The sequence below is a fragment of the Homo sapiens genome, chromosome 20 (genome assembly GCF_000001405.40).
Source record: "Homo sapiens chromosome 20, GRCh38.p14 Primary Assembly".
Taxonomy (NCBI): Eukaryota; Metazoa; Chordata; class Mammalia; order Primates; family Hominidae; genus Homo; species Homo sapiens.
Genome location: NC_000020.11, coordinates 21,340,718 through 21,363,952, shown reverse-complemented (window position 1 = coordinate 21,363,952; position 23,235 = coordinate 21,340,718). Strand labels below are relative to the sequence as shown.

The 23,235-nt window shown below is 35.2% G+C and overlaps 1 protein-coding gene across 4 annotated transcripts in view; it reads right to left on the bottom strand.

The window, feature by feature from the left end:
* XRN2 (5'-3' exoribonuclease 2) overlaps positions 1 to 23,235 on the bottom strand; it is an 86,495-nt gene that overhangs the window by 25,873 nt on the left and 37,387 nt on the right. For 3 of the 4 annotated variants that reach the window (NM_012255.5, NM_001317960.1, XM_017027723.3), the window contains 10 exons: positions 23,101 to 23,232; positions 19,745 to 19,863; positions 17,403 to 17,538; positions 15,700 to 15,807; positions 15,523 to 15,612; positions 14,492 to 14,564; positions 9,081 to 9,164; positions 7,776 to 7,873; positions 7,288 to 7,367; positions 6,161 to 6,217 (listed from right to left, as the gene is read on the bottom strand). In NM_012255.5, coding sequence (NP_036387.2) covers positions 6,161 to 6,217; positions 7,288 to 7,367; positions 7,776 to 7,873; positions 9,081 to 9,164; positions 14,492 to 14,564; positions 15,523 to 15,612; positions 15,700 to 15,807; positions 17,403 to 17,538; positions 19,745 to 19,863; positions 23,101 to 23,232 — 977 coding nt within the window. Of the gene's footprint in view, positions 1 to 6,160; positions 6,218 to 7,287; positions 7,368 to 7,775; positions 7,874 to 9,080; positions 9,165 to 14,491; positions 14,565 to 15,522; positions 15,613 to 15,699; positions 15,808 to 17,402; positions 17,539 to 18,059; positions 18,120 to 19,744; positions 19,864 to 23,100; positions 23,233 to 23,235 lie in introns of those variants that run through there. The other variant, XM_017027722.2, reaches the window with a different exon arrangement.

Sequence of the window (23,235 nt, the reverse complement as noted above, 5' to 3'; positions counted from 1 at the left end):
CTCAAAAAAAAAAATTTAGTAACAGAATACTTAATGACCTTAATGACATGGGAAACATATATACAACAGACTAGACATATTCATCAATCGATTATCAGTGATTTTTCTCTATAAGTTAGTAACTTGTTTCCTTTAACATATTTTTCAAAATTCCTCCAATGATTACACTTACAGTCAGTTAAAAAGGTTTTTAAAAAAAGTTTTATTGACCTGGTTGACATTTTTAGACAGCAGTTTTCTTTCTGAATACTGCCACTTTAACTAGAGTCTATCTGCTTTACAGAAATTTTCATTTTAAGTACACAAAAATGGATTCACTTACAATAAATATACCATAAGCTCAACAGCTGAACAATACTTATTACTCAACTAGTTCTTCTTACAACTCACTCTTCACTGACAACTGTCTTTAGCTCAGATTTTCTGTACTGGCAAGATGGCATGGGGCAGGGCAAGGTAGGACAGGCAGTGATAAAGGTTTAAGAGGATGACAGAGAAAATGGTAGTTAAGTATTTGTGCTCATTAGGGCTTTGCAGATAAAAAGTCAAGTAACAAAGCAAGACTTGCAAATAAAGTGTTTTGAAGCAGGTATCTGTGTTTCAGCAGGGCGTTTTTAGCACTTTGCCAAACTATTAGAATACCTATCGCATGCACGGTTCACGGTGGGAGGGAGGTTATGCACACCGCCAGGCATCAAGCCTGCCTCCCCTTCTAATAAGGGAAATAAGGAAGAAAGTGGAAAATGCAACAACAGGCACAGAAAAGATGCTGAGTCAAAGCATGTGTGTGTATACACCTTCCATATAAACATCTTTGTCAGTGTGGGCTAAAGCTATGTGTGTACTGCGGGGAGGGAATTATTTCACCTGAGGACCAAGGAAAACATCATCCAAGAGGCTGCGGTTTAAGATGAGACAGGATTGGTCACAGGGTGGCAGAGGAAACAAATGGAACAAAGATATGGAAAGGGTCCCAGGACCAAGGAACAGTACAGTTTTACTGGAGCAGCCCTTCTCAATGGGGATGTGGGAGGGAATTAAGCCCTACAAAAAATGATGAGTGAGTACATTCTCAATTCTCCCAAGGAAAAAACATAGCTAGTATCATTCTAGAGATACAGGACACAAACTGCTACCTACAATCTGATACATACAACAGATGCTTTAAGATCTCAAGGCAGAATTCTCCCATGGAACTCCAGTTGAGAAGGGCTAAATTAGAGTAAAAACGCATTTGAGCAGAAGTGGGGCAGGAAGAAAGGTAACAGAAGTGGGTTATGGTCATGGAGGGTTTGTGTGAGTATAATGTGATGCCTTTGCAAGTAGTCAATGAGGACGTGAAAGTGATCAAAGATAATTTCAGAAAGAACAACCCAGCAGCAGTGTGCGAGAGAGCAGAGGGACACCCATAAAGAGGTCACCAACAGAGCCTAAGCAACAGTCTTCGACACACATCTTGGATGGGAACGTTGGGAAAGTAAATGAAATGGTAAGGCTGGAACTAGAATGGAGATCGAGCTCAGATGAAGATCTCCAAGTCATGCACAGAAAGACCTGAAACTAAGAAAATGAAGGAAATAGCCAAGGTAATAAGCTCCCAGGGAGAAGAGAAAATCCCAGCGTCACAGAGATAACCACTTCTGCAGGAGAATGGTTATAACAAGAGATTTAATAAGACAGCTGAAACTAAAGTTTGAGAAAACAAATCCATTTGTTTTCCAATTATTCCTTAATAAAATTGTTTTTAAAATTCCATTATTCATGCTCATGCTCTGAAAGGGAAAAACTTTCCAAGTCAATAGGACAGTCTCCAAGATCATCCCTACTTCCCCTCAGAACCACATTCAACAAAAGGATCTACACACTTAATACAATACAAACCATTAGGAGATAGAAAAGGAGTATCTAAAAATAAGTTTGGAAGTTTCCATTCAAAGATGAGGACACTATTTATGATACCAAAGTATTAATATCATTTTTCCTTGGATCTTTGAGAACAATTTGAAGACACACTCTCTCCTAAAATGGATTAAGCTTCCAAGGGTTGAAAGATTCTTAGTATCTTAATTTGTTCCCAAAAATGTATACTAAGATCTACTATGTTTTTAGAAATGTATTTTTCCAATGTGATAACAGCCATAACTCAGATTCAAACAAACTTCCTAAAAGTCAAACACACAGACTAAGCAGGAACCCATTAGGCAAAGACTCAAAAAGGTAACTTTTTATATGGATCCAAACATTTGAAGGTCTTTTATTTTTTTCATGTCTATGTCATTTAAATTCCATCATCAGAAGCAAAAGGGTTACTTGTGGAAGGCTTATCTAGGGAAGTAGTAAGTAACACTGAGGTAAAGAGAGAAGCACCCTCAAGCAAGCTCTGAGAAGCAGAGGAAGGAAATGAGTTAATACAGCCTACGGACTCAACAGTCTGACCAGCTGAGGTAAGAGACTTGTGTTTAGATTCGTATTGCTTCATCTAATTCTGTAAACTGAAGTATTTTTAAACAACAGTATTTTCATCCACTTTTTCCAAATGCAGGTGAAACACTGTTGACTCATCAAGCTTTTATGTACCAGACCAGCTTTCCCCCAAGTAGCATAACAGATCCTTTCCTTAATAGGTAACCTCACTATTTTAAATGCTTGATTGTCTTCATAAACACATCAAGGGCAAAGTAAATAAAAATTTAAAACCTAAGCATGGTTGAAAATAAGGAAACTGAACAGTGCTTTTATTTATACCACAAGTAGCACTTTCAGCACTGCTGGTAAGAAGAAAATACTGTAGCAAAGTCTCAATAGAAAAGGAATGGAATATAGAACACCTTTTTCTGATTCGCTTTAAGAATTATCCTTAGAAATGCTATTTTAAGTATTACTGTTAGAGAGTGTTAACATAATTCAGAAAGAAAGCAGAAAACTCCAAATATCAAGTTTCATTTTTACACAACCTTTCCCTGATACATTCCATAATTAATGCTAAATTGGCATACAAAGGCAAACTGTTCTTGCAGGAAAATCTCATGATTCATATACTTGACATTTTAAAACACTTAAAGAGTTTATAGGATTGTGACATTCTATCAGAAGAGGTTAACCAATTAAGCATCGAAAGTGAAACCCTCCCAACTGTTTTCCACCATCAAATCCACTGCTGACTGCATGTATTCCACTTCCTTCAGGCTTTGGATCTTGAGTTATCTGCTTGCCAAGCATAAGCCTTGCAAATGCTGCAGAAATAGTTACTTAAAAAATCCATCTCCATACACATTCACATTAAAACAAAAAATCTCCTTGAAGGAATAAAACATTCTATATCTTGTCTGATTCATCCAAAAGTGAATACAAAAAGTCTAAGAAACACTCCTCTGAAGAAAAAAGTTTACGCTCTTCAAAGACTTTGGCAAACACTGGTTGCAACACTATGAACAACTGAGCTTTTTAAATATGGGTTTAGAACTCTGCTAGGTGCTATGAGAAAAAAAAAAAAAACAACCTAACAACACTACTGCTGGAAACAACATATATAAAAACTGTATAAATTATGCTTTAGAAGAAAAGCAAAGCAATAAACGGCAGGCTATGGGGCAGGTGGAGAAAAGAAAGGAAGAGCACTCCAAACAACAGGAGGAAGAGGCGGAGGTCAAAGGGTATTGAAGGGATCAGCCTGGGCAGGAAGGAAGCATCCTGAGGACCTGGGGGTTCAAGCACAGGGCCAGGGCCCTGCCAAGGTGCATCAGGCCTTGAAAAAGTAAAAGCACACATATGCACTTACCCTCCAGATGACAGACTGGGAGGAAAACTCACATGCAGAAGCTAATATGTTGAATAATTTGTGGAATTAGAAATGGGAAAAAAATATGATCTCCTAGGTTAGAGTTGACTATATTCTCTAAGGGTCTGTCTACGAATTTAAGGGACTTCAACAGCTTGTATAACATACTTTCTGAGCACTACAGATAAGAATGAATACAATGGGAAGAACTTACCTAAACTCAACTTGAGGAAACGATTTCTCAAATATCAAATGGGATACTAGATGTATTTAAATAAGGAAGAGGAAAAAAATGCCAGGAGTCAAAAGAGAAATAACTGGCAAATGACTGGTGAGTATATTCTGAGATTTTTTAAATCTGAAAATTGTAAGTTAAAGTTATAAAGCAAATTTAACACTGGAATGTACAACAAGCCCTAAAACAAACATGCAAAAACCTGCTGTAAAAACTGGATCTCTGCCTCAATGTTGCCGCCCTTCAGAGAAAACACTGAAAATTACTTTTACCTAAGGGAAAAGTTAACTTTGGTCTCCCACAAATCTTCAGCAAATTAACCTAATTTAGTTGATTTTATTATAAAGTTATTTTCAATATACACCTGAATATGCATTTAGATCTGGGATTTGTTTTATACATTTTTTTTTTTTTTGAGATGGAGTCTTGCTCTGTTGCCCAAGTGGTGTGATCTTGGCTCACTGAGGCCTCGGCCTCCTGGGTTCAAGCGGTTCTCTCACCTCAGCCTCCTGAGTAGCTGGGACTATAGGCATGCACCACCATGCCCAGCTAATTTTTTGCAGTTTTAGTAGAGATAGGGTTTCACCATGTTGGCCAGGCTAGTCTTGAACTCCTGATCTCAGATGATCCACCCACCACCCTGGCCTCCCAAAGTGCTGGGATTACAGGTGTGAGCCACCGCGCCCGGCCTGTTTTATAAATTTAATAATCTTGTGAACATAGTATGTACTAAATACCAAAGGCCCCTTTAGGCTCAGAAACAACCAACCAACATCATCATCATCCAAACAAAAAATCCAAAATGTTTCCATTAACTCTGTAACTCTCCTCTGGGCAAGCCTCTCTATCCTAATTAGAAAGTTAAGTAGAATTAACTATTTCTAGAGGGTTAGGCAGGAAGGCCCTTGAATATATGCAGAAAAATTGAGAAGCACAAGCAAACATGTGACAATCCAAAGAGAGAACCGTGGAATTAATTGGCCTGAAGCGCCAATGCTTTAATGAAAGCCAGAGACTCCAAGGGTTAATACACAGTGTTCACACTGAATCTGTCAGAGCCAGATTGTTTGTGATGGGTTTAGGAGCGTGGCTTTCAATTCTGTACTCCACCCTTAACAAAAGAGCACAAAGACAAAGAACCAGGACAAATTAGGTGTAAAGATAAACAAAAAATTATACGTAAAGATAAACGTAAGCAACTCATCCAGAAAGATTTTTCGAATTCACAGTAGTTTTCTTTAAATAAAAGCCTTTCTAGAATGGCAATCATTTACTACCTGAATCCATTTAAGATAGGAAATAAACATGTTTATATTTCACAAAGGGAAATCTAAAAAAAAATCTAAAATATTTCCTGAGGGGGAGAGAAACAAAAATGGATGGAAAAGGAGGATTCAGGATTAGCAGGCTTTTATCAAATTCTTGAATACCTGAGATGTGTTTGCTTTAGTCTTACCTAAAGATTGGAGAAAATGACAACTAAATTCTGTCATCAAGATTTGTCATTATAAAATACAAATGAGTAGTCAATTTGTTGGATTTTAGTCCAAATGGTCATATTACATTTTATATTATTTTTACTCAATAGAAAATGCTGTCAGCACCAAAGAACTGAGATATAAATTAGTTTTCCAGAGAGAAGAAATTAGCCCTTTAAGTTTATAATTGCTAATAAAAATTTTCACAAATATATTCTGTTCTATGTCATCTTAACTAAAACATACTACAGAATATTTTTGTGTTCAAACTCTGCAGGGCCATGATTATAAACATAAGTAAAATAGTCTGTTGTAATACAGGGAAGCTGTGTGAACCTCTGGGGTGTAGAGTTCTGTTTGTTCCTATATAACAAACTGCTAGATACTCCTACTCTTTACCTCCCACTTGCCTAATCCAGGAAGAATTACAGGTTGTCATGGGAAACCAGAAAACAGATAAGCAAGCATGTTAAATCAGTAACCTTAACAATATACATAATTTAGAGTTAAGAGGCTCTGCTGTAAGGTCTGCAACACAGGGACTCTCCAATCTCGAAGCATTGGTGGATTAACAGCTGCCATTTCCTTGTGAATCAAAGGTCTTTTAAAATGGATTTGCAAGTTCAGAGCTGTGTTCTGGGTGAATGCCATGAATTTTGGAAAACTTACCTGACTACAGTGTTCTGTGTCAGATCCCTTAACATAGGAACAGGAGAACATACTATTCTAGAAGGAAACAAGAGAAGAAACATCTCTCTGTAAACTGTAACCTTTTAGGTAAGTGGAAATAAGATGTTGCTATGTTTGTTAGTCTTTAGAAAAGATAAATCATTAGAATGCACTAACAAAAACAATAAAAACCATTTATATCTTAAAAAAAAAGAGTAAGTACCACATACATGAAATGGTTAACTATTAACCATAAGGCATTCAATCTCATTAGTACTCAAAGAACTGCAACTATAAACCACAAGATGTCAATGAGCATCCACCAGACTGACAGAAATTAAAGCTGTGACAAGGGTTTGCCAAAACGTAGAGCAACAAGATCTCTCACAAACTGCCACTGGGATTACAACACAGTGTAACCACCTTGACAAACCTCCTAGAAATATTACCTAGAAAAAAAATGAAGATACACATACTCTATGGCCAGCAGTTCCATTCCTGGAAATGTACCCTTGACATGTGGTTCACAAACTCTGGTCTCAGAACCCTTTTACATTCTTAAATCTCAAAGGGCTTTTGTTTATAGTGGTTATATTTATGAACATTTACCCATTAAAAATTATGACTAAGAAATTTTTAAAATACTAAAAGATACCCTACATGTTAACATAAATAACATTCTTATAAAAAGCTATTTTTTTACAAAGCAAAACGATGTCATTGTTGTATACTTTCAAAAATCTCATTAATATCTGGTTAGTATCTATTTAATAGCTACTCTCCTCTGCTTCTATCTCTTGAGAGGCCTCTGGAAAACTCCACTGTGCACTCAAGAGAGAAAGTGTAAGAAAAGCAAGTAACACCGTAACATCTTAGTATCATTATGAAAAGAGTTTTAACCTTCAGAATATCCTGAAAGGGACTCCCAGAGCTCCCTGCACAAGGTGACACAGCTACTTTGAAGAGCTAGGCTTTGAACCCAAGCATTTTTCAGTCAGCAAGGTTTTGTCTTATTTTAAATACAATTTTCTCACTATTATTAGAAAATAAACATTTAGACAACAAGGAAAAAAATCCTAACTAAACTTCCTTCCAGTCACCTCAATTATATACAAAATGAAACTTACTGATCTGGAAGAATGGCTTCTTCATCCAAAGAAAACTTTCCTTGAATCCCATGACATAGTTCAGGGGGTACCTCCACTGGCTGTGGAAAAATGCATTCCTGATCTCATATGCAAAGAATGGAAAACTGGGACTCAAGCAGATTCTTGAGTGTTCATAGCAGCATCATTCATAAGAGCCAAAAGGCAGAAACAAACCCAAATATTTACCAATAGATAAGTGGATAAAAAAGTACACATAGAGTATTATTCAGCCATAAAAAGGTATGAAATTCTGATACATTATTTAACATTATTTAAAAGGTACAGAAATTCTATTTGGGAAGATGAAAAAGTTCTGAAAAAGTGCTAATGGTTATACAACACTGGAAATATACTTAATGCCACAGAATAACCACTTAAAAATGGTTATAATGGTAAATTTTATGTTATGCATATTTTACCAAAATTTTAAAAAGTGCATTTCTAATTAACCAAATTGCGTAACATACCTCTGTGGAACCTGTCTGGTACAGCTCTAAAATGAAGTCATGGAGTGGGTGATGTTTCCCCACAAATAAGACATCACCTCCAAGGCTGTTTCTTCTGGCTAGGGAGAAAGAAAAGAATAAGACCTACACATAAAAAAATTGTACCTGCAAGACCAATTTTTATGAGCATAAAACAAGGGAAAGCATCTAAGTGTTAAGAACTTAATTATAAAATTTATGAAAAATAATTTTAAAGTGATAGGTTAGACAAGAGTAAGTTCTAGTATTTGATAGTACTGTGGAGAAGTTAGTAATTTATTACATATTTCAAAATAGAAGAAAGAAACTGTAATGTTCCCAACACAAAGAAAAGATAAATGTGAGGTGATGGATATCCCAATTACCCTATTTTGATCACATATTGTATATAGGTATCAAAATATCACATGGACCCAAAATACATGTGTAACTATTACATATCAATTTAAAAAAAATTTTTTAATTATAGTGATAGATCTAAATGCGTGATGTGCCTCTATGGGGAAAAAAATATTTTAACAAAAAAGTTTCAAAAAGATCAATAGTTATCAGGAAAAAAAACCCACTGAAATACGTATGAATATACTGCAAGATAAAGGGCAATATTTTCTTTTTATAATAAACTCATTTTCTTAGTATAAGAAATACATAATCATTCCCTAAGGAAACATATACAGTGTCATTTGATGAAAAGATTGTTCTAAAAGACAATCTTTTTGATACAGAAATTGTTTCTAGAGGCTTATTATAATGGTATTAAATTTTTCAATAGAGCCCAGCTTTGCAATTTCCGAATATGAATACTTTTTACTGTCAGTATTGATTACAAATTGCCTCCTTTTATGTCATATTTCAAGTTAGCACTCTAAGAGCATATGCTTTTGTTTCACCCTAACCTTTTAAACAAAGTAGTTATTACTGGGGAGAAAGGAGGAGTAGGGAAGAAGGTAGATGGAGAAAATGAATAATATCTTCCCAACAGGCAAAAGATACTTTCGTGTGTGCATGTCATATAAGAATCAAAATGTCAAAGGATATTGTTGAAGTATTGCTTTTTAAAAAATTTAAGAAATACTTGTAAGTTAAAACATTTTATTTAACTACTACTCAACTTACAGATAATGAATTAAGAAGCAAAGTCAACGTCTGTAATAAGAAAATAAAATCAATGATTTATATCCCCTTTATGGGAAATCTGACAAACAGGAGAAGGAAGGTCTAATTTTATACAGAAATATAAAGTGTATATTACACAGATCAATGTTAACTAAGAAGTATAATTCTTACTCTCTTCTGGAGTGAGGTCTGGGTATACCTCTTCTAGGGCAGCTCGTAGCCTTCGCTCATCCACGAATGGCAAGAGAGCAACACCTGAAAAAACAAGTGCAAATGAACCACCCCTGCTACCAGGATCACCCAAATTCCAACTTATCATTGCTCGAAATGAACGTTTCTAGTAGAGTTTCCTTGCTGATACAAAAACATTTTGGAACTGAACTCTTATTGTCTCATTAAGCCAAAACTCAGATGCTAATATTTCCCCTGTAGTTGCAGAAGAAAAAATTCTACGTATTTTCCATTCTTAAAATGGCTTATATGGAAAATCATGTTTTCTGAATCTTAACTCCATGGTGATAAAAATTTTAAATAAATGAACAAATGGCTACCTGGATACCAGTAATATATTCTCACTTTAGTTACTAAGATGCCCCCAAGCAAGCCAGTTACTCTCCCTAGGGCTTGAGTGTGTCCTTTCTTCTTTCTAGTACTTGGTTTCATCTTTTGTAAAATGAGAGCATTTCAACTAAAATACTCAATTCTGTTCAACCAAAATGCATAGATCTCCTCCTGCTCTAAAATTCCATAGTATTCTTTTTACATTTTAAAGCCTACTAATTAATTTATATACAAAAAAATTTTAAAGACTTGCTTAAATAACTTAGGGGGCAGGGGACAGAACAGAGGCTATTCATTTGAGACTTAAAATGATCCTCTGGAGTATGCTGAAATTAAGGGCACTTATTTGGACCCAAAAGCATAATTTTCAAAGAAGCACATCACTAATACAATGCTATAAGAAAAATATACAAAGTTATTGAAGCGTATATATTTTCTGCTCTACACAGTATAAGTAGTATTTTGGCTAAACAAAAATTTTACAATACACAGCAAAGACAAATGCTAAATAGTGTTAAATAATTCTGAAACTACTGCTACTCAAAACCACTGTTATTTGTGATTATTCCCTTTAAAATTATGAGAAATGAAAAGGTTTCCAAGTCTTATTTAGCTTAATTAATTATTCCAAGGTTAGGAATCATGTTCAATTTCACTACCTAGTAACAGTTGTTTTTTTTTTTTTTTTAAGATAGGGTCTCACTCTGTCACCCAAGCTGGAGTGCAGTGGCACGATCATTGCTCACTGCAGCCTCAAACTTGCAGGCTCAAGCAATCCTCCCACTTCAGCCTCCTGAGTAGCTGGGACTACAGGCACATGCCACCACCACACCCAGCTAATTTTTAAAATTTTTTGTAGAGATGAGGTCTCCTTGTGTTACGCAGGCTGGTCTCAAATTCCTTGTTTCAAGCAATCCTTCCAACTTGGCCTCCCAAAGTCCTGAGATTACAAGCATGAGCCACTGCACCTGATCTTTTTTTTTTCTTTTTAAGTTAAAAAGAAACTAAGTTCTAGTATGAATTTTGAATGGCCTAAAAGAGTGATTTCAAGGCTCTTAATACCTAACATGTGAGTCAGGCTATTTCAATTACTGATAAACACATGAAAAAAACCCAGGAAATTGCTAAAACATTATTTAGTCATACACTTAAGAGAACTATATCAAGGGGAAACTACAGCATCATCTAGCTTGTTTTCTACCCACTACATTTAAGAGATATATATATATATATATATATATATATATATATATATATATCCTACCCACTACATTTATTTATATTTATATATATATAAAATATATATAAACATATATTATATTATATATTAAATATTAAATATTATATATTAAATATTATACATATATAAAATAAGACTTTTCTACAATATCAATTCCAGAAGCTAAATCCAATCAGTTAACAATGTGAAGTGCTACTCAACAGCAAGAAAATCACTAAGCAATAAATTACCCCTACTGGCCAGCATAGAAAGGAATGCCTTACATCCAGATATGACAGAGCTACAGTGAGCTGATAGTAAACATGAGAATAGCAGCTACTGTTTTCTGAACACTTCTTATGTTACATGCATTATCTCACTGAATTCTTTCAATACCCAGAGGGAGCCCAAGTACTGGTAATAACTTAGGTATTACACAGTCACTTCAAATGTGAGCTCTAGTATCAGACTTTCTGAGTTCAGGTCTTAACTCTGCCACTGTGTGACTTGATGGAATTACTTAAATTCTCTATTCATATATAAAATATACAGCATCAAAACTACTATGCTATATATCTATATAGTACTAAGCAAATTGACCAAAACGATACTGCTTTTAAATTACGTGTGTTGGGCCGGGTGCGGTGGCTCACGCCTATAATCCCAGCACTTTGGGAGGCTGAGGTGGGCGGATCACCTGAGGTCAGGAGTTCGAGACCAGCCTGGCCAACATGGTGAAATCCCACCTCTACAAAAAATACAAAAAAATTAGGCAGGTGTGGTGGCACACGGCGGTAATCCCAGCTACTCAGGAGACTGAGGCAGGAGAAATTGCTTGGACCTGTGAGACGGAGGTTACAGTGAGCCGAGATCGCGTCACTGCACTCCAGCCTGGGCAACAGAGTGAGACTCTGTCTTTAAAAAAAAAAAAATTACATATAATGTTGATAAGCACACATTTAAAAATGTTGACGTATCCAGATATAGTTTATCTTCTATTAAGATGTGCTCAACCCAGGTAAGAGCTTAACTAAGTATTATCATTACTTTCACTAAGTAAGTTTTAAAAACATGTATGAGGAAGAAACTGTATTTCCCAACAGTACTAAATTTTACCTCAAGAAAAGTGTGTTCTCGCTACTAAGCTAAGTAAAAATATTTATATAAAACATTGTATAAAATACAAAAATATTTGAGGTCAAAATTTAAACCCATCCTAAAATTCATGTGAAATCTCAACGGACCTTGAATATGAATAAAGTTGGAAGACACAATTTCTGACTTCAAAACTCACTACAAAGCGACAGTAATTACAACAGTATAGCATTGGCATAAGGAAAAACACATAGCTCAATGGACTAGAATAGACAGCCCAGAATATTTTCAACAAAGAGTGCCAACTTATTCAATGGGGGGAAGAATGGTCTTTTCAACAAGTGGTGCCGGGAAAATTTGATATGCACATGCAAAAGAATGAAGTTGGACCATTACTTTACACCATATACAAAAATTAATTCAAAATGGATCAGATTTAAATGTAAGAACTAAAACTGTGTAACTTTTAGAAGCAGACATAGGAAAAAAGATTCATGATGTCGGATTTGGTAAAGATTTCTTGGATATGACACCAAAAGCACAGGAAACAACAAAAAAGATAAACTTGATTTCATCAAAATTAAAAACTTGTGTGCATCAAAGGACATCATCACAGGGTGAAAAGATAATCCACAGAATAAGAGAAAATACATGCAAATCATATATCCAATAAAAGATTAATGTCTAGAATATATAAAAAACTTCTATAATGCAACAACAAAATCAACCCAATTCAAAATTGAGCAAAGGATTTGAACAGACATTTCTCCAAAGATTTAGAAATGGCCAAAAAGGACATGAAACGATGTTCAGTATCACTAATCATTAGGAAAATGCAAATCGCCACCACAATGAAATACCATTCATACCCATTAGCATGGTTATTACTAATAAAAACAAAATAACAAATGTTGGAGAGGATGTGAAGAAATCTGAACTCTTGTACATTATCTCACTTTTCCCCTAGAGTTAAGTTATATTGAAAATATCCTGTCAGTGAAAGAAATAATGTATACCACAATGACAGAGTTGACAAGTCACCTGCATGTTTATATATTTAATTATCTACTTAATAAACCCAGACAACGATTTAATAATTTACTTATTTAACAAACACAAAAATATATTTGCTTCTTAATTTACTTAGTATTTTTACATCCCTCACTGTCCCATGCATCTTCTCTCTCTGCTTTAATCAAGACATCCTCCACAAAGCACCTTGAAAAACCCGAATCTCCAATCCATTTAACATGTAATAATACATGATCATGAAGCACACAACCCTTATATAACCCCAATGGGTGCACTTCCATGATCATTCCACTGAAGCGATATGATATTTCTGCTACTAAATAAATCAAGTCAACTCCAAAGCCTCCTGATTTTTCAATTTGTAAATTGTATTATTTATTCCCCCTTTGTCTCAAGATTCTCCGTAAGTCATTTTATTGGCCATTCCAACCACAGAGAACAATAAGTAAAAAATGAAAATATGATTTTACCAAATGTGTTTATTACCCTAGGAAAATGTATGGTGGAAGAAAAGGTTAAATAATTTGCTGCAGGATGACTTTAGTGTGAAACAACAGCTGGTTTACTGTGTAAGAGATATTTCTTTTTTTTTTTTTTTTTTTTTTTTTTTTGAGACGGAGTCTTGCTCTGTCGCCCAGGCTGGAGTGCAGTGGTGCTATCTCGACTCACTGCAAGCTCTGCCTCCCGGGTTCACGCCATTCTCCTGCCTCTGCCTCCCGAGTAGCTGGGACTACAGGCGCCCGCCACCACACCAGGCTAATTTTTTGTATTTCTAGTAGAGACGGTGTTTCACTGTGTTAGCCAGGATGGTCTCGATCTCCTGACCTCGTGATCCGCCCGCCTTGGCCTCCCAAATTGCTGGGATTACAGGCGCGAGCCACTGCGCCCGGCCAAGATATTTCTTTATTGTATTTTACATTCAATCATCATTACATATTGGTTGAGTGGTAAACACACCTTAAAGTTAGTACAAATTTTATATAGCCATTCCTACAAAATCTGTTAATGGAATGAAAAACTAGTAGGAAAAGTAATGATCAACATCAAGTATTTAAACTACATAAAAGTTTCTAGCATATTTTTCAAAAGTTTCCATGGAGTATACATAAATCTCCACATGGATACTACTGTGTTTCTGTATTTCTCAGCAACCTCAAAAGGTGTTAATGAGCTACTGACTGAATGTAACAAGCCCCATTAATTAATCACAAAGGAAACAAAAGATGTAATTATCAACCTATTTCAACCCAATTTACTGCTTCTAAGAATGTTATAATTAAATTTACTATTAATCATTGCTAATCCCAGGTTGGATGGAGAAATATCAACATTTCACATATAATTCTCAAAATATTTACCTTTTAAAATATTTATTTATTCATTTATTTATTTATGAGACAGGGCCTCACTCTGTCTTCCAGGCTGGAATGCAGTGGTGCAATCGTGGCTCCCTGTAACCAAGACCTCCCAGACTCAAGCAATCCTCCCACCTCAGCCTCCTAAGTAGATGGGACTACAGGTGCAAGCCACCACGCCAGGCTAATTTTTGTATTTTTTGTAGAAATGAGATTTCACCATGTTGCCCAGGCTAAAATATTTATCTTTTACAGAATTATTTCATTTCAAAAATTATGTTTGTTCACAGTTTTACCAGAAAAGAACGTCTAAATTTTACCTTGCCATGCATATTTCTTCCCATTCAAATCAATAGCAAAATCTTCAGGATAGAAGTCAATTATACTAGAATCCTATATTAGGGAGAAAAGTAAAGAATCAAAACAGAAGTCACACATCTCTGTTATAAAGAATTTGATATGACTTTCATTCAAGTTATAAGGTCTGATGAGAAAATAAAGTGCATTCCTTTTAAAAAATGTTAAGAGACATTAGGTCATTAATCCCAAGTATAGTAAAACAAAATGAACAATGTTATTTTAAAAGATGAAAAAGCATTACTGTAGAAGAATTTTAGAATTGACAACTATGGGCTTCAGACAGGCAGAAAGTAAAGGGTTTACGTACTCTAACATTTCCTACTTCCCGGCTGGGTCTCACTCTTTCTAGCTAGCATACAAAACAAGTTCACAGGTGATTTTGGGTAAGGCAGTTTCCTCATCTCTGGTGGCTACCAAATATGGCTGGAACAAATAAAATTAAAGACTTACAGGTAGCCAGAGAACAAAAATTTTTCCCCGGCCAGGCACGGTGGCTCACGCCTGTAATCCCAGCACTTTGGGAGGCCGAGGTGGGCAGATCACGAGGTCACGAGATCAAGACCATCCTGGCTAACAAGGTGAAACCCCATCTCTACTAAAAATACAAAAAATTAGCTGGGCGTGGTGGCGAGCACCTATAGTCCCAGCTACTCAGGAGGCTGAGGCAGGAGAATGGCGTGAACCCGGGAGGCAGAGCTTGTAGTGAGCCGATGGTGCCACTGCAATCCAGCCTGGGCAACAGTGCAAGACTCCGTCTTACAAACAAACAAACAAAAAAATCAAAAACTAAACAAAAAAATTTCTCCCCAAAACAAACTGATTTACTGTGCAGGGCCAAAGAAAGCAGGAAATATATGTGTGTTTGGAGTAAAAAACATACTGTTTCTGTACTTCACTGTTTTAACTATCAGCTGCAAAAGCAATTGTAACTGATATGAATAAAATGTGACAAAAATCCTGTCACCCACACACTCAAAATACTGAGACTCACAGGATCACTCATGAGCTTCCGCCATGATGGAGGTAGAAAATTACCACTTGCAGCTGGAAATACCCCCATAAGTTGTTCTAGTGGTTTAAACTGAAAAAAGAAAAAACATTAAAGACCCAAGATTATTATCTAATCCAGAATTCTATAAACTTTATGACTTTAAGTAATTAAGCTTACCGGTTTCGTACCCTTCTCAAAATCAGATGGCATGTCTGCAATGCCTTCAAAGTCTGAAGCAAATGGTGCATAATGAAATGGATAATACCACTTCCAGGAAGCACAGCCCTAGAATCATTAAAAAAGTAACAACAAAATCAAAAACCTATGTTAATGATGAACACAATTAAAAAAAACAAAAATTAGACTGTTAACCTATAATATTCTACTTATAAAACACATGACTTCTGGCATATATTCCAAATACTGATCTTTTCCATGACTCCTAAAAATTCCTTAAGTTTGAAGTTTCTAATTCATATCAATGGCTCTTTGACTTTAAAAATGCTACAAAGCATCTTTGAAAAATCAGTAGTTACTGCCAAACTTCATATTCACAAACACAATTTGGTAAGATTTTTATCCTTAAAATACATTTGGTGACATTTCTTTCCATCTCTAGAGCTGTCATCATCAAGTAAAACCAAAAGCAGTCACAGCAGACATTTACTGAGCATGTAAGGTGGTTAGAGACATTATTGGAACAGCAGTTGAAAGTAAAACAGCCATGAGTTTCATTTTAAAATTCACCATTATATTTTCACCTGACAAGTTTCTTTTGACTATAAAAACATGTGAGTAAACACAGCAAAAAGAAAACAAAAGCAAGTTATACTCATAGGAAAGAGATATCTAAGATGTGTTAAGACAGTGTCTAGTGAGTTGAAATCTTGACAGTAGGAGTAAAACGCAAACAGAGTACTTAACGGTCAATACTCAGTGCACTGTGTTACTTTCTACTTGTCAACAAACTTCATCTATTCCCAGGTCACACCAAATTTAACTTGGTTTGCTCTCTAAGCACGAAACCAGATATTAACTATCAGTGTTACAGTCCTCAATATGTCTACCTAATCTCTCACCAATCTGACATCTCAATTATCAAAAGGTAGGATACAGGTTATTCCAATTAGAATGTGCTTCATGTATCATCACTATATTATGAAAAGCGTAGCATTCAAATTCCTTTAGAATTCTTATTTGTATTTTCCAGGGTTTGTCCTCTGTTCAGTCATTCAGTGACTGTCAATTCATTACTCAGTTATTTTTAAACTCCAATTTAAAAAGCACTAACCTTTCGTCATCTTAAAGACAAAGTGCAGTCAACCACATTACTTGATCCTGAAAATACTTTTAACAAAAATTAGCTTTGTTTCTATATTAATATCTAAGAAACTTCCACGTCTTCAGAAACAAATATTTACAAATACGGACTTCTGAATAGGGAGCTTTAAAAAATGAGCCTGGGTTTGTTTTCAAGATCCAGCTCAATAATACTATTATTACAGAAATTACTGGGCTGGACGCAGTGGTTCATGCCTGTAATCCCACTACTTTAGGAGGCTGAGGCAGGCGGATCACGAGGTCAGGAGTTTGAGACCAGCCTGACCAACATGGTGAAACCCCGTCTCTACTAAAAATACAAAAATTAGCCGGGTGTGGTGGTGCGCTCTGTAATCCTAGCTACTCAGGAGGCTGAGGCAGGAGAATCGCTTGAACCTGGGAGGCAGAGGTCGCAGTGAGTTGAGATCACGCCATTGCCCTCCCGCCCAGGTGACAGGGCAAGACTCCGTCTCAAAAACAAAAAACAAACAAAAAAAAAGAAATTACTATTTTTCTTAAATGATTAACTACAAATTCAGAGGAAAATATTCTTTTTGTACCTGGTAATAATATCTAAGAACCCAGCAAAGTCCTTCAACGTACGACTGCACAACTTTCCGACGGAATTTCTCATCAGCTGCATCCACATCAAATTTGTTCTTGTAGTACCGCTGCTTCCAGCCAGCTTCCCATAACCTAAAACCAGGCACAGCTCATTTATGCTGAATTAACACACCTTCAGTAACAGGCTGTCTACTAATTTATACCCCAAATCAATTTATATTTAATACCCAGGGGAAATGTGAAAGAGTTAAACAGTCATGCTAACACAGATTCATTTAACTATTTCTAAAAAGTCTAATTTCATAGGATTTATTATCAACTTAAAGACAGTTAAACACACCCCAATCACTGATTCTGGTAAGACCATTATAAAACCACATTTTCAAAAATGTTATTGAAAAAGATACAGAACACATTTGCTCAAATTTTAATACTACTTTATATGTTTCTTTGTACAATTCTAAAGCTACATTTTAAGATTCAAATATTGAAGATATTTTAAATAGTTCAAGTTCCTTAGTTTGTTAAAATATATTTAAACCATACAAAGAAAGTCAACTAAATTACTTAAGACGCACACAGGTAACTTTTTTAAATGTAAAAAAATAGTTTATAAAAGAATAATCTAGACATTAGGCAGAAATTATGTGTATACCTACTCTCTCTATCCTTGCTTGGGCCTTATCCCTCTTTCAGCTAAGAGTTGTTGATGGCTTAAGGAAAGGAGATAGAGATATATATAGAGAGACATACACATTCTATATCTCTATATATCTATGTATACATACACACACACAAACATATGTATGTTATGGTAAAATCTAGAAGCAGGTCAATGAATCCACTAAATTATCATTCATCACTGAAAATACAATGTGACCAACCACATTTTCATCCAATGTATTATTTTTTTTAAGAATCCATTTCTTATTCTCTAAGATTTAACATTTAAGGAACATAAAGAAGCCAAATAACACTTTACAAACATCAGAACAGATCAAGAACATCAAGATGATTCTCCATTTAGGCCTCTTTTCCATGTGCCAGATTTCACATATTAATTGCAGTCATGTTTCAGAATATACCATATCAATTTTAATCTGCCCCTCCCACAACACAAAGGAGTCACAGAATAACAATTAGAAATATCCCCCATTCATAAGGTGGATTATCACTATTTTACAGAAAAGGTTAATGAAAAAATGCTAAAAGCCCCAAGCATTTCTTGGTAGAGGCATTTCCTCTAGGATTAAACAATGATTTCCTCTAGGATTAAACAATTTCCTCTAGGATTAAACAATAAAATACTAAACAAATCAAGTTACCTATTAAACTAGTATTGATCATGATGGCTACATAGTAAACAAAACCAAAGACATGCTGTAAGAGGAAAACCCAAAGTACAGAAAGTAGAGGATAGAAACTAAAGATATACAGAGTAAATGTTCAATCACAAGTAGACATGGATCTGAAATCAAAGAATGTTAGAAAAATGTGCAGAACCACACGTGACCCTTGCAAAGTTTCTAATCATAAACACAAATCACACACTTTCCATGTCCTGTAAAAGAAGCATGAGCTGTAGGTGACTACTGTCTTGTTTACCTTTGAAATAGATCGTTTTCCTAAATTCTTAATGAGCTACAATTATTGAGATTGTTGGCCTTTTGCACTTGGAGCCCACGGTTCAAATCTGGATTTAATTACATGAGAGGTTGTTAATCTTATTATATAATGATCTCAAACTTCAGGATGAATTAAAGAATCAGCTTCCTATTTTAAATTTGAAGTATACAGTTAAAGGGAAACTCCTCTGTCATGAAATATAATTGCGCATATGCAAGTCTGTGGTTTTTAAAAAACATACATATTGATCTCTTAACAGAATGATTTCTGCATATTTCATTTTGAGGAAGAACTCTTTCAATAGAGAAGATTAAGGCAAACTATATTAAGTGTCTAAGTATAACTGAACTTTCTAGGTTAAGCAGCTTGAAAATTTAATCAGTCTCCAAACAGCAACATTCAGATCACATAGTCAGAGCTAAACACCTAGATATGATATCTAGCCGATCTTGTGCCTGGTCTCAGAGGGAAAAGTGGATTGGAGGACGAAAGCCTGCACGCATACTAATCTAGACACTTAGGTTTAACAGCTACAGCTTACACATCTCACTGGAATTTACTGACTATTCTAACCCTCCACATTAATTACTGATGGATAAAAAGATCACAGGCAAGCATCTGAAGGCACTGCTGCTCTAAGCTAAATAGCATTAATTAGACTGCATCTATTTCAGCAATTTGCTAACAAAGTGCTACCAAAAAATGGCTTCACCTGACATTATCCTCTGGCTCAGGTTCACTGTCACTGTCTTCTGCTTTTCGCTTAATTCCTCCTAATGGAGACGGGGAGCCATCAGATGTGAAACTCGTATTAGGAGATATCGAAGGACTCTGCAGACAATGATGACATTACAGAAGAAGGATTTCATTATTCATTTTACATAAGAAGGTACATCCAACCACCACTACTTACCATGTTTCACAGTAACATTTTTAAAGCTACTACATAGAGATGGTAAACATATTTAGAAGGTACAGAGACTGATCTTGCTCCATTTCACTTCCCCTCAAAAGAAGTAATGTAATACCCAAACTTTCTATGCTTAAACTAAAAACAATTAACATTATTAGGGCAAAAAAAAAAGTTTCTGAAGAAAAAAAAAGTTTTAATTTTATAGATTTTTAAAAATTATAGTACTTGAATTTTATTTTCCTTTGGTGGTTCACAATCATTTGTGACAATCAGTTGTAACAATTCCTGTTAGGAATTCACAATCATTTGCCACCTACCAAATGGCAAAGCTATGAGGGGAAAAAATTATGTGATATATAAAATGCATTACATATATAGCATATAATATATAATAATATAGATGTAATAATATATAAAATAGTCAATGCTGGTGAGAATGCAGCTAAATGGTTAAGTCTTCAACCTAGTACAACCACTCTGAAAAGCAAGTTTAATAAGACTGTGTTAGATAACTTAAATTACTTTATATGTTCAGTTTTAAAAATCAATCAACAAATAAAAATCTATTAGTCATCTTAGAAAAATGCAGATTTTATTGGTATTTCAAAGACTTAGCTGTCACTTTAAATTCAGTATTATCTTCCCTTTGTACCTAACTCAATTAACATAATACGTTAATTTTAATTAACATATTTTAATATAACCCTAACATATTTTAATATTTAAAAATTAAAAGAAAATGTTCTGCAACTTTAGTTACTCAAGCTAAAGGACCACATCACCAAAAACATAAGGGGCAGAAACATTTCCACAGTCAAGTTTTTCTTCTGTTACTCACAGTATATTAGCTATTTCAAGTAAACTGAATTTTTTTTAAACTGAGAGCACAGAAGGCCATTTGAATGATATAATAATTAGAGTATCCACAGCATAAACACAGTTCATACCACAGGTCAAGAAAAGTTAAAATAATACGAAATCATATTTCACATAGAACTTAGAGCACATCTCTTTTAAAAACATAATGTCAATGTTATTAATGAAAAGGTACAGACAATATTGTCAAAAAAAAACCCAATAAAAATAAATACAGGAAGGCACTGTTGTACTTGGAAAACGAGGCAGGTATTGTTGTATTTTAGTCATACAGATCTGAGTCTGAAATACCAAATTCAACCTTTACTGGCTGTGTGGCCTTGAACAATTTATTACTTAACCTCTGTGAGCCTCATCTTAAAATGGGGATGATAACGTTCTGTTTCCTTACAAGTTATTGCAAGGATTAAATGCATCAATACATGTGAAAGATTACTGGCATGCTGCCTACATGGTACATGGTAGTTAACCATTCAGTAAGTAATCACTATTGTTTTTTCAACCCTACACTAATCCATTTGTATTAAATTATGAGAGTGACATTCCCATTAACTGTCTACAGAGAAGTTGTGTAAAAAGCAAACTTTAACAAAATTAATTACTAACAAGATATAAACTCTATCTTTAGAAAACAAATAATAATATACTTTCTAGAAAAAAATGCTGTTCACCATTTAATGCTAAATCTCCGCTGCTGTCTCTACCAACAAAAATATTCCCTTGTGAACATACCAGATTCATATTAAATTCAAATTTCTTCTTAAGCTGTTTTTTTCATCAAATTAGATATAATGAAACCACACTGAAGAACGCTAAATATAAAACCACAAATATAAGGAAATGGAAGCTATTTAATAAAACACTAAGAATGTTAATCATCAGTAGATAAGTATTAGAGACTACAACCCAACAGCTCAGAAAAATAAAACACGAGAAATCTGTAACTTTAATGGCTCCCTTTAAATAAACTGGTAATTTGACTTCAAAATTTCCTTAAATTTAGAACATTCTAGGTGAAAATCCCACTCTGCAAAGATTCGAATTCCATACCTCCTCTATATAGAAATAATTGTGGCAAGGGAAGTTAATTAAGACAGAATCAAAGAAGCAACCTCATCACCAGTCTCCCCATTACTACTCCTATGGCAGATGTTATCGATCTACAGTCTGGTCCTGTGGCCTAATACTACCGGGCCTGAAGATAATACTGGAATGCTTCCTGAAGCAACCACAGCTGGCAAAGTTTAAACCTGCCTGCCTCCCAAGATTTAAAAAAAAAAGTACTCTACCATCAACAGGGCATATAACACCACCAGTCACTCTCAGTTCTGCTCTGCGGGGATGGTAGTCACTAAAATCTTGAATGATGGGCATCAGCTATTTCTGTTCCATATGAGCATCAATAGGATAACTAACAGAATAACAGAAATTAAATATCCAAGCTTATTCAATTTCCTTGGATATATCATAGCAAAAGTGTATGTTCCTTCCTCTACTGTTAGATCAGGGTCTGTTCCCTCAGCCCTGTTGCTGTCCCACTGGGTATTCTGAGAGCTCATGGTCTATTTCCACTACAATAGGAAGGTGGTGGACAAAGTACAGCCTTGCAGGATAGGTTGATTTGCTTCTGGAGTTTGGATTACCAAGTTCAAATATGGAAGAATACCACAAGGCAAATAAATGCATGCAGTTGCTGAGTTCACAAACAGGGAGTAACCAGTAAGTGCTACCTTAAGATATTTATTTAGATCTATTCCATGCTGAATTGGAGAGCCAGAGTTTACACCTAAGGAATACTATTTTGCAAAATGCTCACAACTGCCCACTGAAGGAAAGGGGAAATAAGGGAATAAAACCCATCCTCCTCCTCTTGCCTCAGCTTTGAGACATATGGATGTCCCTTGACAAGCTTCTAGAACCATTCACCACCCTATTCTTTGGAGAAGGGAGAAGCAGTGTGTGGTTCATCTGCATTACAAAAACACTGCAGCCACTTAGCTTATTTTTGAGACAGGGTCTCACGCTGTCACCCAAACTGGAATCAGCTCTTTATATTCGCATGTATCAACAATCCTACGTGCTCTTCTTTCACATCATTTGGATATTTTCATATTGATAAAGATGGACTTAACAGAACTAAACATTTCTCAAGGCAAAGCAATTAAGAAAAACTATAAAACAAAACTCCAGGCTGTGATAAATTTCACACACACACCACCCCTGCAAGAGGTATGTGATATTCACCACTCTTAAATGTCACATAAAAGTAAGCCACTTACAGAGTTATTCTGCATCCTCATTTCATAGGCTGCTTGTCTCGGATTACTGGCTACTTGAGAACCTGGTGAATTTCTTGAACCCAAGGCATGAGGAGTTAATATTCCACTAGGAGTGAAAGCTGGTTGATCTCTCTA